The sequence below is a fragment of the Homo sapiens genome, chromosome 9, assembly GCF_000001405.40.
Source record: "Homo sapiens chromosome 9, GRCh38.p14 Primary Assembly".
Classification (NCBI taxonomy): Eukaryota; Metazoa; Chordata; class Mammalia; order Primates; family Hominidae; genus Homo; species Homo sapiens.
The window spans coordinates 7,104,576-7,122,845 of NC_000009.12; the positions used below are offsets into that span (position 1 = coordinate 7,104,576).

The window sequence follows — 18,270 nt, forward strand, 5'->3', positions numbered from 1 at the left end:
AATCTTTCCTGTGTTTTAAATGCTTAGAAATATTATGACAGCGTAGAGATAGTTGATATGTCTTTGTTAGCTTTCCAGTTCACCATGATTGTTTCTGGCTACCAAATAGGAGGCTAAAGCATTGTCTAGATGCTCAGCTCTGCTAACTTGCCGCACTTTGTTTTCCCTGAGAGACTTGGCCACAGGCTATTAGCAGCCTAACATGCTTCTCCTATGTCCCTAATAACCTCTTGTGAGCAGCCTGCCAAGTCGTCAGCATTGGCTTGTGGAGTCACACACAGCAAATCTCCCAGCTCTTTGTAATGCTTTCAGCAATTTCCATTGACATCTTGAGAGATATTTGATGTTTGTGGGCTGGGGATCTGGGCAGATGTGAGTGAATGCTTAAATGTACAAAATGATGTCACCAACTGTCACATCTATTTTATTTGTCTTATTTTTTCATTGTTTCAGGTTCCAAGTTGCATATTCATTCATGCCTTTTCCATAGTTTCTTGAGTTGATGTCCTTTTGCTAAGAATAGTATTATGTATCCAGTAGAAAATACATTTTAGCAACTTTTAAAAATACCTAGTAATAACACCTTACATGACTGTGGTGCCTTGCCCTTAACAGTGTGCAGTCAATAGGATTACCTCATTAGAGGATGTATATGAATGCGTTTTGAGATGTGAACAAGGTCGTGACCTCTGAAGTCAGAGTAGTTGGTGTTCACACTTAGATTCTGCCAGTAACAGATTGTGCAACCCTGTGCAAGTTCTTATTTCTGAGCCTCAGCTTCCTCATCTATAAAACATGGTATCCCACCTCACCATGTTGTTTTCAGTTCACAGCACAGAGTAAGCACTCAAAAAATGAAAGTTGTATTGCTACTACTACTTCTGCTGCTGCTGCTGGTGCTACAATCTTATGTGAACTGGGCCACGTGAGTAGTGTTTTTCCTGTTTCGAGGATAAGAAACCTAAGTTCAGAGAGGTTTAATTCCTTGCCCAAATAGATGCAGATAATGAGTGGCAGGTGCTGGAATGTAAATGCCTTTTTAGCTCATACTCTATTATTTGGTGAATTCCAAACCCCAAACCTCAAATGGTGCTAGAGGTGTTCATCTGAAGCTTTGCTTGGGATCATACATTACCGTTTTAATATTCCAAAGCCCTGTGGTTACTGATGACTATATTGAAGTTGCTATTAAAGAGATCCAGGTGTTTAATCAGGACCTCATTCCTCTTAACTCTCATGTGTGGTTCAGTCAAGTTTAGGTTACTAATGTGTTTCCTAAATGATGATGAAAAAGAAAATAGATGAGTTTGAGGTGATTTAGAAACTACTGTCTCCTACAGATCCACTTTCAGCTTGGTATACTTTGTAAAGACTGGGGAAAAGATCATATAATTTACAACATCACGTGAGGCAGCTTTTCCTGATGAGGGAACAATTTTAGTGTTCTTAAATTGCCTTTGCTACATTTTCTAGGTGGAAGCACTGTTAGCACTGTATTTCCCAAGTATATTTCTAGTAGCTGTTACTTATCCATTCTTCTTCCATTCGACTCCAAGTACGGATTCCTCCCCAAAGTGTTTGGGAACTAACCAGTAGGAATTTATAGAATCTGGCAACTTTGGTTAAGAACATTGTGATTTGCCCCTATTGCTTTAAATGTTCTTTCCTTATCAAGCATAGAAAAGTTCAGATTCAATCAAATATTTCTCTTTGTGTAAACTATCAATGCTAAGAGGTATGCTTCTTAGAGCAGAAACTGTAGTTTGTCTGTGTTCTCAACCATGCATTGATTATTTGAAAGTAATAGGCAATTGCCGAATCATAGCAGTGAAAACTGTAAAATAAAGTTCAGGCTAACTTGGCAGCCTGGCCCAGTTGTTTTACAGAATAATGGAGGATGCCTGTATGATTTAGGTGAAATGAAGTATAAACCTACTGTTGCTTCAATAGAGTCTCCATTTTTACTCACTTTAGGGTTTTTGATTCCCTTATTTTTTTATTTCTCCCAATTATTTGCTATAAAGCATCCAAAAGGACCATTTTAAGGAAAATTCAACTATTCCATTAGTGTCATAAATTATTATTTTGTAATTAATATATTTTTAAAATAGTTCTCATTATGTTGTACAGGCTGGTCTCAAACTCTTGAGCTCAAGAGATCCTTTAGCCTCAGCCTCCCAAAGTGCCGGAGTTGTAGGTGTGATCCACCGTGCCCAGCTAATTATTTTAAATATATGAGCTTATTCATTGTTTGTTGAGCTTTGGATGTAAAATTATTTTGAATAATTGTATAAAATTCATCTGATTTGTTAATACATTATTCCATCAAGCAGTAAGCAGAGTTTATAATTAGAATAGGCAGTGCTTGAAAAAAATAGGGTAAAACTTCCTAAAGATGGAAAAAAGTGTGTCACAGGAAGTACACAGCTGATCCCTGTTATTTCAACCTAAATTTTTAGCATGTGTTTGCCAGCGTTTTTGTTGAACACCTTTGTTGAATGTCACTGCTGTGTTTCAGATGTAAGGTCTCCTTCATGTGTGCACATGAGTGTGTGCTCATCTGTCGGTGTGTGTAGTCATGCTGTCCGCTTCACCACCCTGTGCCATGATTCATTATAACCTAGTTTCTGGCTGTATTTCCAAAGGTTCCACTTGGATATATTCCTAACCCAGTTATCTGAATGTTGCACAGATGTTTGTAAGGAAAAGACAACACAATAAATAGTAGTTATGAAACTGGAAGTCTTGGAAATGTATTTTTTCTTCAAACAAATAGTCAGCTACCTATACACTATATACTTCTGCAAAATATAGCACCACAGGGCCATCTCACACTTGAGTAAACTAGACAGATGCCCTGTGGAAGGGATGCCTGAATAACAGAGGTGAGAAAATGGCATGCAATGTTTTTTCCTGGCAAGTTACTTAGTAAACTTTCATATTAGGTTAGAATAATCTGCATATTTAGTGTAGCAGCACCAGAATCACTTGCACTTTGTTAATTCACTGCAATGAACATGGCCTCTTTATACATCTTATATGAGGTACATAGTGTTTTTTCTTAATATTCTTTCCTCTAGAAAAGTGTGACATTTAAGTTGTATTCATAGCTTTAGAAACCTTAGAAGTCGTGGCTGTTAACATGGAGACAGATACCTATTTAAAAGAGAGGAAGAACTTTTATAGAGAAAACGCTGTATTGGTTAATTTATGTGATTTTGTGTATTTTTCCTTTAGTATTATTGTAGCTAGGTCATAAGGACAGAAAGTATTTGTTGTTGTTGTTGTTGTTGTTGTCTTTTTATTTCTATCAACTAGCACTTGGCTATCCATAGGAGCAGCTTGGTATAAATTTGTTAAAATAATTATCCGATGCTAGGGAGTGGGATTAGTGGAGAAGAACGAGAACTTGTATTTATTGAGCATCTTTTATGTCAAGTGTGTGTTAGGTATTTCACATATGCACCTTATTCAGAGCAGTGTTTTTTGTGTGCATAATGGAAAGCAGGGTGGGTAGGGTGGCTTCTGTTTTGGCAGCTCCCGTTCTAGAAACTTGTCTAGGATCTTGTTATTCCACCATCTGGCCCTCTTCCATGTGTCTTCTAACTCTCATCTCAGTAATACAACTGAGTCCTTGCTCAGCACTTACTGAATGCTTTTTTGTTTTTTATTTTTTTTTGGGACAGGGTCTTACTCTGTTACCCAGGCTGGAGCGCAGTGGCATGATCTCGACTCACTGCAACCTCTGCTTCCTGGGCTCAAGTGATCCTCCCACCTTTGCCTCCCAAGTAGCTGGGACTACAGGTGTGCGCCCCCATGTCCTGCTAATTTTTGTATTATTTATAGAGACTGGGTTGTACCATGTTGCCCAGGCTGGTCTTGAACTTTTGGACTCGAGCGATCCAACTGCCTTGGCCTCCCAAAGTGCTGGGATTACAGGCATGAGCCACTGCGCCCAGCCTGAATGCTTTTTCCAGCCTCTGGGTCTTTAGGCCAGCTCCCAGGCCAGTTTTATTGCAACTCCTTCCTGTCCTCATGAGGCATGGGCTTAGGACAGGAGAGGACACCACAATACACAGAATCTGGTGAAGGGCTCAAAGCAAGGGCTCTGTGGGTTAACCTATGACTATATAACTAATCTTGGGGTGATGATGGAATGGGCTACCTCTCATTGCTAACAACAGTGAAACATTCTAGGCCTCAACAATGTGGAAAGATGGATGTTTGAGGCTCCCAAATTCTATACCCTAGAATAGTAGTTCTTATCCTGTATTGTATTGTATAGCATATTATTCTTTTAGTGTCTGTTATTGAGAAAATACTTAATGAAAAAAATAAGAATCAGTACACTTTTATGTGAATTTATTAATTGTAAAAGGGCAGGCAGTATTTCAGGTTGATTATGGATTGACAGGGAGAGACTCCAAAACATTCACTCCCACTGTAACATTCTCTTTTAATTAGCCAAGGATGCAGAATTGTAGTAGAAGTGGATTTGGTAAATAGGGTAGAAGTGAATGCAGCCTATCATAACAAAACTTCCCCCTGGGTCCTGTTTCCCTAATGGGCATATGCAGTGGTATGTGTGTAGGCTGTTGCCAGATCTGAAACTAAAGATATATTTTTGCTGTACCACAGGATTTTATACTTGGGTCTCATTCAGGAAAACTGATTATCCATGCTTCTCATTTTAATAAAATTTTTATAAACATGAAGATGCCCTAGTTCTTAAACCAAAATCAAGGTCAACAGTACTATATAATCAACTAGGGGAAAAAAGTAGTTCTGTTCCCAGATGGGGACCTGAACAATATCTCTCTCCAACTTTCTAGAATTTTTAGAAAGCCTGTTTCCTCCAGAGCCTACCCCTGATTCTGGTTTATACATTTCAATCCAATTCGTTCCAACAGGATTTTTATTTGGAAGGCCAGAATTACATTTCAGCATATACGCATTTCACTATATTGTTGTGCCCCTTGGATGTAAGACGGGTGGTCAGATGATTGTGTTTTTGTAATTAAGCAGCATTCAGCTAATTTATATCAGTGGGTAGGACTTCGCTTAGCTTACTTTATGTTACTTGACTCTTTTAAACATCATCATGGTTTGTAGCTTTTTATGAGCCCATTGCGTACCAGTTGACCAAAATTTTCTTCTTGATGTTCTTGCTCCCCTTGGACCTTTTGGAGCCTCTTCTAGGTGACTGCTTTATTTCTAATTTTAAACCACTTTTAAATGGTTTGGCTGTGTCCCCACCCAAAATCTCATCTTGAATTATAACCCCCATGTGTCAAGGGCAGTCCAGGTAGAGGTAATTGGATCATGGTGGCAGTTTGTCTCACAAGATCTGATGGCTTTATAAAGGGCTTTCCCCTTCACTCAGCACTCATTCTCTCTCCTGCTGTCCTGTGAGGAGGTGCCTTCTGCCTGAGGCCTCCCCAGCCATGTGGAACTATGAGGCAATTAAACCTCTTTCCTTTGTAAATTACCTAGTCTCAGGCGGTTCTTTATAGCAGCATGAGAATGGACTAATCCACACTTCTAGACATCTTTGAAACTATCTTTGTTTTTTTCGCAGTGGGAAATGCCAAAGTTATCTTGGTTTCTATTGTACCAAACTGGGAATCAGTGATTCATCAAAGAGCCCTGGTTCTTTTTTATGGGAGCTCTACTAGAGACCAAATTTGCCATGAAAGGTGCACATTACCATGTTTTGTTTCATTTGAGTGCTGGCTAATTTAGGACTAGAGCCACTTTAGTGACAGAGCAGATAAATAGCATTTTTTTTCAAATGGTTCAGGGTTCATGTTGATATATCCAATTCTCCTGGCTTTAATAAATTTATTTTTATATTGTTCTAACTTGAGGGCTTATTAATGCAATTTCTCCTTTCCTAAGTGATGCCTAAAGATTTGGACCTGTTTTTCTAAAATTCTCTTAACTCTTCCTAGGTTTGTATGGTTTAGTGGGTGGGAATGAGGTATGGGTTGGGCCTACCACCTCCTCATCCTCTACGCGCTTGGATCCACAGCCTGATTATGGTGCACATACTCTTCCACAGGGGGCCTCTGCTTTTCTGGTCTCTTTCTTTAAGAGCAAAGTTTACAGTTCCTTTGAAGACAGTTTCCCGCATTTGAAAATATTTTAAACCTATTGAAGAAGGGATGAAAGTGGGGTAGAAATCTCAGAAACTGACTTCATCCCAAGATTTTTAAACCGACCTGAAACCAAGGAAAATACAGCCACTTTTCTAAGACTTGCAGTATTGGAGAGAAACTGATAACTAATATGGCAACTATACTGCTTGCTTTCCCTTTCTTATCCCAGCACTTGTTTAGCCAGATCATCAAAAATATGGCTTAGCACAAAAGTTAGTTATGGAGAACTTTAGACTGCCTTAAAACTGTTCAGTTCAATATATGTAGGGACCATGAAGCATCCTGGAAGTAAACGTAACCTTTTTTCTTTAAACTTCTCCATCCGACTTCATTCTTGCTGACCAGACCTCATTCACACAAGTGTGTCAAGCAAACATTTTTGTTTTTTTTTTGATGAGACAGTGGTGGGAAACATTTATTTAATACAATGTGATAAGCTGCGTTCTAAAGGCTTTTCAGATATTAACTTATTTAATCTTCAGTGTCCCATTCATGGTAGGTATAGGTTGAGCATCCAAATCCAAAATGCTCCAAAATCTGAAACTTTTTGAGTACCAACATGACACACAAAGGAAATGCTCATTTAAGCATTTCAGAATTCACAATTTAAGATTTGGGAAACTAAATCAGTGAGTATAATGCAGACACTCTGAAATTCGAAAAATTCTGAAATAATTCTGCTCCCAAGCATTTTGGATGAGAGATGTGCAACCTGTACTATTATTATCTTTTTATTTTTTTTTAACAGATGAGGAAATGGAAACAGAGTGAGTTTACGTTTATATAACTTGCTGTAAGTTATACAGGTAGTAGGTGGAAGAGCCAGGATACAAAGCCAGGCAATCTGACTCAGAGTCCAGGGTGTTCTAAGCACAGGGAATAGTGTGTGCACAAACTTCCTCAAAGGCCTGGTATATCTGAGGAAGGCTGAAGAGTTCAGTGTTACTGGCTCTAAGACATGTCAGGTTTACGGGGGAGTCAGGATGGAGTGGTGAGTGGGAAGTTGAAGCTGGTGAAGTAGATTGGGTGATCAGAATGTGAAGACTGTCTTTCATAAAAAGTGAAACCCCGTTTTTATATATCCCTGAATTAAAATTTTAAAAATCTCTCATCTTCAAGTTAGGGAAATGTTCTTGGCTAAACAAGGATCTGTTTTTAGGGACGAGGTGAGGGACAGGAAGGATTATCCTTTCTAGAGGAGATGGGTCATGGTGAGGAGAAGATTGTTTTGGGGAGGCTTCCTGGGAGCAAGACCCACAGGTACTCAGTTCACCCCTTGGTGGGGTGCAAACGTGTTACCCAATAGCTGTCTCTCACATGCGCCCACATGCACAAAGTGGGTCATGCTGAGATCAGGCAGGAGAGGCTATTATTTATCTTGTTTCAAGAGTTCCTCAAAGTAGGGAAGATTAAAAAGAAAGAAGAGTTTCTCATTTAGGCATTACTCTTGCGACTTTCCTTCATCCATGTTCCCCGGGGGATTCCTTGAACTCCTTTGCCACTGCTTCAGGCAAATTTAGGGGAGTTCTGCTTTATTCTACAGTGGATGGTCCCATGCGAGGTTTATGTGTGGGGCAGTATTAGGAAGCTCAATCTTGAGGCCAAGTGGGAGTGGATTAGAGAGTAGAAGGGATTGATTAGAGACAGGAAGCTGATGCTCCAGAGAGGGTGAGAAGAAACAGAGACCTGGATTTCCACCATGGCCATGTCCCAGGATGAGGAGAAGGGTCTTGATTATGAGGACACTTTGGAGGTGGAATTATAGGCCTTGGTAAATCAGATGTAGTGGGGAAGGGAGAGAGAAGACCCCAAGGGACAACTAGTTAATTTAGAACTGATTATGAGGAAGAATTTTGCCTACTGTCACTTTCAGTGTGCCCATCTAATGCCAGTGAGCTTGCCCTGGCCCCCACAGGGCTGATACATCATATGTAGCTATGGGTTGAATCTATCCTTTCAGTTTCCTTTTTATTTTCCCTCACTTCGTCTGGAGCTCACTTCCATGGCTTGATACTGTCTTCCTTTAGTTTCTGCTTTCTCCTTTTCATAAAGTGAACCAGAATTTAGCTAACACTTATCTCACAGTGATCTGAATGGTGTCATTTCCACAAATCCTCATAGTGTCTCTAAGATCCTGGGTGTCTTTATGTTTTGCCGATGATAGAATTGTTTTTCCTTTAACAATTTGGATATTGCAAACTAAAATTCTGTTTAACAAAGTTTGTTTTGACCAGCTATACTCTTTTTTTTTCCTTAGACTTCTACATAATCATCTTGTTTTTGTATATGATTTGTTTCTTCTACATAAGCTTTTTAACAAATGGCCTGCTGAATTTGCAGTGTTATTATTGACAAAGAGAGATTTCTGACCAAAGCAAAGGGATGGAGTAATGAGAATTCTTAGCAAGGATTTAAAAAAATACTATAGCGATTCAAACCTGAATCTGATCGATATTCCTAAATCTAACACACATTTTTTAAAAGAAATCCCTCACCTTTCTATCAATAGAAGGGTTTTGTTGAGCTCTCTCTCCACTTATCCCAGATGATAGAAAGTGAAGGTTAGATTTGCCTGGAAGGAGGAATATTTAGCACAGACCTTTTAGAATATTGACATTCAGAACCTATCTTTCTCTTATTCACATTATCAGGTAAAGCCAGAGAAGATAAAATTTTTCTTAATTTTGCTAGGAAATTTAAATATATCCCATTAAACATTTTTGAACCCTATTCAGAACCCCCTAATTTGTTTTCCCACTGCTGATCTTTTGCCATTTCCATAGGAAGGGCTGGGTCAGTGAGCATCATGCTTCTCTCCCTGTGCTTTCTGTTGATAGAGCAAGGGCTTGAGGAGAGCCACTGCAAACTCCCATGCTCACAACAGCCTCAGCATACTCTACGAAAGAAGGCAAGAGAGTTTAACGTGATCTTGGAAAGATTACTCTAAAAATGGTTGAACTCTAGGCTATTCTTCGTGCTAATGAAAAATAATTTCTCGAGCATTTGATGAGCTCCTATTATGTTGATCAATCTTCAAAGTCTGGGAAATGAGCTTCAGAGGACTGGTACTTCTCAGAATTCTGGATTCATGAAGGCTCGTGCTGGAGAGCATCAGGAGTTGCCAGCATCTAGGAGTGTGGTGTATTCAAAACAATCTTGACTCCAGGCAGTCCTGCATTCAGGTTCCTGCTCTGCTTCTTTACTGCTTGCCACTTAGAACCATGCTGAAGTCCCGTTGAGAGACTTACCCATATCTTAAAGCCCTGATAAAAATACTGATGTGAGGCCAAATGGTACATCCCAGGATGAACATATGAAATTGCTGTTTTATAGGTTAAAACTGGTTTAATACCAGCAATTTCATATTATTTGATGTAAAACATATTCAGAGGAGAGGGGCTGCTACCATACTACTCCTTATTCTGTTTTCTGGGGAGAGATCCTTTAGGCCTGGTTCATGGTAGTTAACATCTTGTAGTTTGGGAAGCACCTGTAAAATCTCTCTGCAGCTATACTACTCGGCTTTATTCTGGAAATAGCTGACATTGTGCCTGTCAGCTAGGAATTCATGTTCCTGAGTCTAGTCACCCTCAGGGACAAAAACACAAAATTTTATCTGTTCTGATATGTATATGGGTACATTGAGAAATTAATAACAATTGATAACATTTTAAACTTAATTAGAATGAAGGGAATTAGCACCTATTTAGTTATGAATAATCACAGCAATGTATTCGCATTTTCATTAGTAAAACTTAATAGCTTTCATCTCTCTCAAAATACGGTTTTAGTTCTGTGTGGAATAATGTGGTTTCAGGAGAAATATTTACCTAAATTTTTTATTCTGTCCTTATAAAACTGCAAATTGACCCTGATTTTTAAAAAATTCAAGACAAAGGCATTTTGGTGTAGGTGTTTGGTTTTTATCACAAAAGCAGACCCATCAGAATGCTTAGGTGAAACTTGTCAGTGCTCTGTTTTATGCTTGGCTCTGTCATTTCCACCACAGAGTGCACCGTGGAACCAGGGAGCCCCTTAGCAGACCTAGACCCCACGGTGGGGGCACCTGCATTCAGAAATACTTACATGGGGCTAGGTGCAGTGGCTCCCACCTGTAGTCCCAGCACTTTGGGAGGCCGAGGCGATATCAGCCTGGGCAACACAACAAAAACCCATCTCTACCAAAAATACTAAAATTAGCTGGTCGTGGTGGTGTGCGCCTATGGTCCCAGCTACTTGGGAGGCTGAGGCTATAGGATCACTTGAGCCCAGGAGGTAAAGATTGCAGTGAGCCAAGATTGCGCCACTGCACTGCAATACAGCCTGGGTGACAGAGCAAGACCTCCATCTCAAAAAAACAAAACAAACAGACAAAAAGAAATAATTTACATGGGACACTTGATACTTGACAACTTCAAGGGCCAACTTACTGAGGAAAATCAACTCTTCCATTCCAAGGACCATTTATTTGGTTATTTATTTATTTTTTTCGTAGATAAGGTGTATTTTCATGCAAAATGCTTGCTTGCTTTTTGCACAGAATTAATATTTCTCCGTTCCCAGGAAATTTTAAGCTTTTCAACAATTTGTACTTTTTTAAAAAAATAATTAAGGCACGCAGAATCGTCTGATAGCTTGTTAAGAAAATTAAGTAGTGACACTAATCTCATATTTTAATATTGGTATTAGAGTCAAGCATCATAGATACAGTAGAAAAATATAAATGGAATGTGTCAACAGACACACAACAGCAAAGGGTATTTGACATTCCAACATCTTGTAACACATAAGAGGTAGGATATTCAATTCCTTCATGTAGAAAACAGTAATTAGATGCCATAGCCGTAATGAAAACCTTAGATACTGACAAAATGTAATGAAAGTATATTTTTAAGACTATTAACTGCAAGCAATAGAAAAGGCAATTAAATGAAATAACTTCCAATATTTCTAACTAAAAGGCTACTCTCCAAGCCTTGATTGTATGTCCACTTTCAACAAATATGATACACAAAAGTCTGGATTAGCTCAAAAGGCCTCCTGAAGCCTCTTGGCAGGAAGCCAGTGATTCCAGAGGAATGCCTTATCTTCTTTGTCATGTCCTTCCATGGAATATTGGAGCATCCTGGGCTCTGCACATTTCTCACATACAAGTCAATACGTCTTTTCTTTCCAGGGAAAATGGGTAGTTTCTTCACCATTGCCAGTCAGAAGTTGGCATCTTTTCATCTTGAAGTGTCACATGTCCTTTCTTGTCTTCTCATCCTACACTGGTGTAGTGGGTCACTGAAATTATAATGTCTGAAGAAACGTAAGAAATTCCTGTTTCTTCTGAAATGATGTTCTGAAATATCATTTTGGCTCTCTTAGCCATTCCTGGGCAGACCTGGCACTCGGACGCTTTTGCTTGGAGCAGGAGACATGGAGAAGTGAAACTTTCTTCTTTGCAAGCATCAGATACCTTAATGAGTTATTTTCCATTTTGTTTGTCCCTCGAGTGGGCCTTTTAGTTAAGTTTGTTCACCTTTCCCCATACATTTCTCAGGAATTAGAAGAAAATGCAAAATTTGGAAATCCTTAAATTCAACAACTTTTAATTATACCTTAAAAATGTCATGTTTATTACATATTTGGAGAACAGAGCAGTGTCCTTACTGTATCTGAGAAAGTAACTTTAATTGAGGTTATATGGACCTTAGGTGATCAAGAACAGGAGGGCCACAGGCAGGAAACTAGGAAGGATGCAGTTACCATTAGAGCACCCCAGTTCTTTCCCATCCTGCCCCCACGTGAACCCCATAACATACCTCTCTTTCATGCACAGTGCTGGGTACGTGGGTCCACTCAGTTAACACTAGACAATCTGACAGATGGATTTAGTTTGCTGATTAATACTGGACTTTAAACAGTTTGTGGATTTATCCCTTTTGAGTAACATTGGCGAGGTAGGCAGAATCTGCACTCCTGCCGTGGATGTGATGGACATTAGAAAGCTTTTGGCTGACTTCCCTTTCACCGTACCTTTAGTTGCTTCTCCTGAAGTCCAGAGAAACCTAGGAAGTTTGTGTTTTCTCTTTCTCTGTCATTCTCTCCTCATGTAAGCAGTGTGTCTTTATAGGCACAGTTACCTCTTCCTCTCTAATTTTGTCTCCCGCTCAAAATGACCACCCATCTTTGTTGGGGACAGTGTATCAATGTAGATAAGAGTTACAAAAGTATAATAATAACTAACATTTGTATAGTGTCTTTTATAGTTACACGTAGTACATTATGTCATTTGATGTTCATAGTAAACTTGTGTGTGGTACATATTATGATTATACCCATGTGACAGGTTATGAAATTGAATTTCAGAGAGGTTCAACAGTCTTCAAAAGTTATAGAACATTCAGGTTGTCAGAATCAGAGCACATGGCATTTCATTTGGATTGTGCTGTTTTAGTAGTCATTTTTCTAATTTGAGACTATGACTTGGATTTGTTTACATGGTATTAAGATTTACCTGGACTTCCTTCTTGGTGGTACAGAAAATCTGTTAAACTATTTAATTAGTCTGTTTTGCTTTGGGTTACCTTGTTCAATAACAAAATATTTGCATCTGTTTTAGTGTGTTTAACCCATTCACCAACTGTAATTGAGAGTCAGAAATCGTTATAGGCAGGAGTTACCACTGAGTGATACCCTGTGTCGCTTGCTTCTCTCATTTGAAAGTGTCCCATCAGACGTCATTTAAAGGAAATATTACCTTATTGTTGAGTAAATGCTTTCCTTCTCATTTTATTCTCTCCAAATTGTAATTCCTCCAACTTTGTTATTTTATTTTCAACATTGCTTTGAGTATTTTCGGTTCTTCACATTTTTGTATACATTTTAGAATCATCTTGTTAATTTCTACACACACACACACACACACACACACACACACACACACACACTGCTGTTAATGATTGAGATTGTGGGAATATATTGCTCTTCCTAAATTATATTGTTGGCACCCAAGAAGCCTGAAGAACTCCTGAAATAAAAAAGCCCAAGGCAGAGCTTCTAGGGTCTAGCATCTGGGAACTCACTGATTCTCTAGCAACAGTAATGAAATTGGATGTGACTGTAGGCGAAGCTCATGCCAGGTTTTAGCTTAGCAGTGGCCCACTACCAGCTCCACCTGTCTAACTAATGTGAACTCTCATCTCTGTTCTTTATGAATTAAATTGCTTACTCTTTAGAATACGTAGCAAGCAGGTGGTATGTTCCTGTTGAGAGGTTTACACATTAACACAGTGAGGCAAAGATTCTGCTATAGCTAAAGATGGTTCTCTCTTCCCAGTTCTCTTCACTTACCAAACAGGGCCACTACCTCCGAGGTGAGCTCATGATTCAGATGGAAAAAAATTAGTTTTTTCTCAGCATCTAATGCAGCCTGTTGTTTGTGCTTCTACAGACATTAAAGTGAATAAGACCTTAAATCTGCTGGGAAACTGCTTACCACCATTTCCCACTGTATTATATGTTTGTAATTAAAAACCCATGAGAAATAAAAGTACACGTGAACATACACACATGTGGAAAATTAAATACTTGTGACGTTTTGATGAGTCATATGTGTATTTGTGCTGTAAGAACAAGTATTTCTTCATGAAGCCCCAGGGATTTAGGTTTTTCTGGGCAGAGGATTTTTACCTAGCTCTTGTAATTTACAAAGAAAGCTTTCACTATGACAAGGCAAGTTTAGATGAGTGGTTCCTGCTGCATACCTTTGGTAAACGAAGAATAGTTTGTATTGATTTATTTATTGCAATCCTTGTAGAAATTTTTATCAGATGGATACTTTGAAAAAATACAATAATAATATTTCACAGGTTATTAATTCATAGAAATTAAGGATAAATAACAAAGTTGAGATGGTGAAAGGGTCATTGCGTACAAATGGAAACCTGCTCTTTGGCCTGTACGTCGGCTAAGTTACTTACTTTGGTTTCTTCACCTGTTCAGCCTTGCTGGTGCTGTGGGTTTCTACATACATTATTGCATTTGGATTTACGCCCTTTATTAACATCATATGTAGATAGAGAACCCAGTTGGGGATTTTCCCAAGGTGACATCTCCGCCCATGACTCATCCTGCTAGATGATGGGTGACCCTCCTTCCAGATGTAAACACAGGTCAGCCTTGCCAGGTCTGATAAGAGACTACCTATACGGCCAAAGCAAAGAATCTTCCCTCATTCTACCTCACAAAAGCCCTTCCCCCTGTGCTCTTGCCCTAGAGATTAACTGTTTTCTCTCTGGTCTCTGTCAAAAACTCAGTGGGGAGAAATGATATTTAAGAATGCAGTGCATATGTCCACTTGAGTATTTAAGTTAGATTCCCGTGTCAGGTTAGGCCACCAAGAAATTACCTATTTTAGCTTCCATAACTTAACCCTTTATAAGGTGCCTTCATTGAGTTTCATTTCATTACTGTGTCTTTTTAGTGACAGTATATACAAGCACCATTATATAAATAGCATTGTTGCCATTTTCCCAAGTCTACTGTTAAAAGATTGGCTGCTGCGTCATTAAATATCCCAGGTGATAAAATCTTTTTAATAATTATGAAGAAAAATTTGTGTCTTAGAAAATGGGAAAAGATACTATTTTCTTTCATTAATTCTAGCACAAATTTAACAGTTCTGTCAATCTTGAGCATAGGCAGAGACTGCATTAACAGTTTTTGTAACTGTCTACAATGGAAATCATATTACCATTTTAACAGAAATTTAAAAAATATTATTTATGCTCATCAACAACTTTGTAATCAGGATATTAATAGTTGTTAGACCTACCTTTAGATATTAGTATTTAATGCATTATTTTAAAAGCATATTTGTTTTTCCTTTCCGGTCAGGGAACCAAAAAGGAAAAAGAAAAAAAAAAAGAAAGAAAAACAAGTTTATTTTTCTAATATAATTATTTGTTTGTAATCTTCTGTGTTTATTTTATGCATTTGAAAACATAGTTCTGAGTAGGGCTTCACAAAGTAGCCAGAGAGGTCCCTGGCACATACTCCAACAGCCTTCCTGGGGCATGTGTACTTCCTGGCAGCCTCCCTCCTGGTTCAGATGTTTACCTGCATTTTCTTTTCTGGAGGGCCTCTTCCTTCCCTGATCTGAGCTCTCTTAATACCTTGCATTATGATCAGCCATGTCTGTCTCTCTTACTAGTATGTGAGCTATTTGAGAGAAGGGACTCTCTCATTATTTTATTTTTATTCTTAGCACCTAGGAATGTGCCTTATTTTTAGTGAGCCATTAGTAATTAAATGCCACTTTTTTTAAACCCCATCCCATTCTAGTATTGCTCTTCCTCGTGGCATTGATTGACAGGTTGTTCTTGGCATTTTGGCTCAGAGTTCACTGCTGTAGAATGCTCATCAGGCAAGGAATGATGATTTTTTTTTTTCATTGGATTTTCTCAATGCTAACTTTAAATTTTTTTAAGTCAGCCTTTTGGATGTTGTTGTGCCTTTGATGAAGCAGTCCAGGTATTAGGAACATACTTTCCTCCTTCTTCAGGTTGTAATCATTGGTAGTTAGCTGTCTTTTGTTTGAAATTTGGCTATTTATTTCAACATTGGTAGTCTTAGGAAAGCTAGAGAGTTTTCTTATAAGGGCCTGTATAATTTCCAAGTTCACACTTGATTGAAGGCAGCATGGTATCAGTGGAGAGAAAACTCTTCTACATTTGAACAATTGGATCTTATTATTAGTGCTGTCCCTTAGAGGTGGCTTAGTATGATGGGAAGGACAGGAATAGTAATGAATTCCAAAAAGACCTGATTAGTTTTTTTCTTAATACAGCCCCAAACCTGAGAATGAAATTATTTATTTGATTGAAACAACATGTCTTTGGAATCAGTGGTGATTATTAAAAACAGTAAAAGTGCAATTTTTTTCTTATATCACATTTGCCTTAAATATGAGATGTAGGTAAGTCAGATGAAATTTTATGACCAAATTTTTATCATTTCACTTTACAAAGTGTTCGTTCTCTCAAGTCTTTCTTACATCATATTTACTGAACTGAAGAATAAATGTTGGAGATGGTGTTTTCTTCCTAACTCACTTGGTCAGCTGTTTTTCATTTTTGTTTTCAGCATATCAGTTGAATAGTTCTGACTATACATGGGCTGGCTGATATTTAAGGAATTTTTAAAAATTGGAAGGACTCTTAGTTTTTTATATGTAGTATTTCAGAAATTATTAAATATATAATCCATGAAAAATACAGAGAAACACATAAAGAAGTACTAAATAAATCCCATTACCCAGAGTTATACATCACTAACATTTTAGTATGTATTTTCTCAGTGTTCCTTTTTTCTAGGCATACATATCTGTGTGAGTGACACATCATCACAAGATTTAGCGGTTTAAACCAGTGATAACTATTTAGCTCATGATTCTGTGGGTTATCAATTTAGGCTAGGCTTGGCTGAGGGGTTCTTCTGGTCTAAGCTATGCTGCCTCATGCATCTGTGGTCAGCTGCAGAATAGCTTGTCTGATCTTGGCTGGGTTCTCTCACAGGTTTATGGCCTGTGGTCAGTGTGATCTCTCATCTCCAACAGGGTAACTTGGGCTTGTTCACACCCCAGAGTCTGAGGTTCTTAGAGAGAAAGCAGAAGTGTTCAAGCCCTCTTGAACGAAGGACTATGAATCTGTGTACCATTACTTCTGCTATATTCTTTTGGCCAGTGCAAGCTAAGCCACAGTCTAGGCCAGATTCAAAGGGTGGGAAATAAACTTCAGTCCTTGATAGGAGGATCTACAAAGTCGTATGCACAGGATGTGGAAACGGGGAGGAGTGAAGATTTTTGGGCAGTTTGGAAATTTACCACAGTGTACACGTGTGTTTACATATGTGTACGTAGATGAAAAGTGAGAGCATATACATTCTGCATTTTTATCACCAGACATGCTCCAAATCCAAGTTACTAATCCAACCCTGTGGATATATTGGGGAAAGTAAGTAAATCTTAAATGGGAAGTGCCTCAACAAGTATCTAGAACAATACCTTCCATTCAATCAATGGAAGGCTTAAAAAAAAAAAAGGAAATGTAATTTCTTTAGGCCACTGCTTGAATTCTATTGGTGTTACTTCCTGGTTGGCTTTATTTCCTTGCTCATGTTTTTCTATGTTTACTTCCTGGTTGGTTTTATTTCTTCACTCATTTTTTCCCATGCTTATTTTCTGGTTGGTTTTATTTCCTTTTCTTTCCATGTTTATTCTTTTGGTTGATGGTCTGGAGCACCTATGTTGTGTTAGTCTATTTTCGCATTGCTATGAAGAACTACCTGAGACTGGGTAATTTATAAAGAGAAGAGGTTTAATTGACTTATGGTTCTGCAGGCTGTATAGGAAGCATGGATGGGGAGGCCTCAGAAAACCTACAATCATGGCAGAAGGCAAAGGGGAAGCAGCTCATCTTATATGGTCTGAGCAGGAGGAAGAGATAGCAGTGGGAGATGCCACACACACACACACACACACACACACTCTCTCTCTCTCTCTCTCTTAAACAGCCAGATCCTGTGAGAACTCTATCACAAGACAGCACTAGGGAGATGGTGCTAAACCATTAGAAACCACCCCCGTGATCCAGTCACCTCCCACCAGGCCCCACCTCCAATATTGGGGATTCCAATTCAACATGAGCTTTGGGTGGGGACACAGAGCCAAACCATATCACCTGTCATGGGAGAGCACTGCTCTAGACTACTTCTAAACTGTTCTGAGATCTTGGAAAAGTCACTTGACTTTGTCAAGAGTATCAGTAGATGTTACATCATCTATTTAGTCAAAATAAAAACTACCTCACAAAATTATTGGGAGAATTTAATTACCTCATGAATATGGACATATGCTGGAAACTAGATGTGTTATCGTTCCTAGGAATTATTTATGCTTTTATGGAATGTCTGTAACGTTTTTTTACTTAACATTTTGGCCATGTCCCCAGCATCTCTAACTGGCCCTACCATTTTTTAAAATGACGTGTATATTTTTTTAAGCCACTGTTGGTTCATTTCTGCTTAGTTCATATTAAAGAAAATTCAAGTTTTACAGCCTTAGCTT

At 38.5% G+C, this 18,270-nt stretch overlaps 1 protein-coding gene across 18 annotated transcripts in view; it reads left to right on the plus strand.

Moving 5' to 3' along the window:
• Positions 1–18,270, plus strand: part of KDM4C (lysine demethylase 4C) — a 454,786-nt gene that overhangs the window by 383,713 nt on the left and 52,803 nt on the right. For 9 of the 18 annotated variants that reach the window (NR_148679.3, NR_148677.3, NM_001353999.3 and 6 more), the window contains one exon: positions 827–925. The exons of the other annotated variants lie outside the window; for them this stretch is intronic. Coding sequence is in view for 7 of the 9 variants with exons in the window: in NM_001353999.3 (NP_001340928.1) it covers positions 827–925 (99 nt within the window). In the remaining 2 variants the exon portion in view is untranslated. The remainder of the gene's footprint in view (positions 1–826; positions 926–18,270) is intronic. 18 annotated transcript variants of the gene reach the window in all.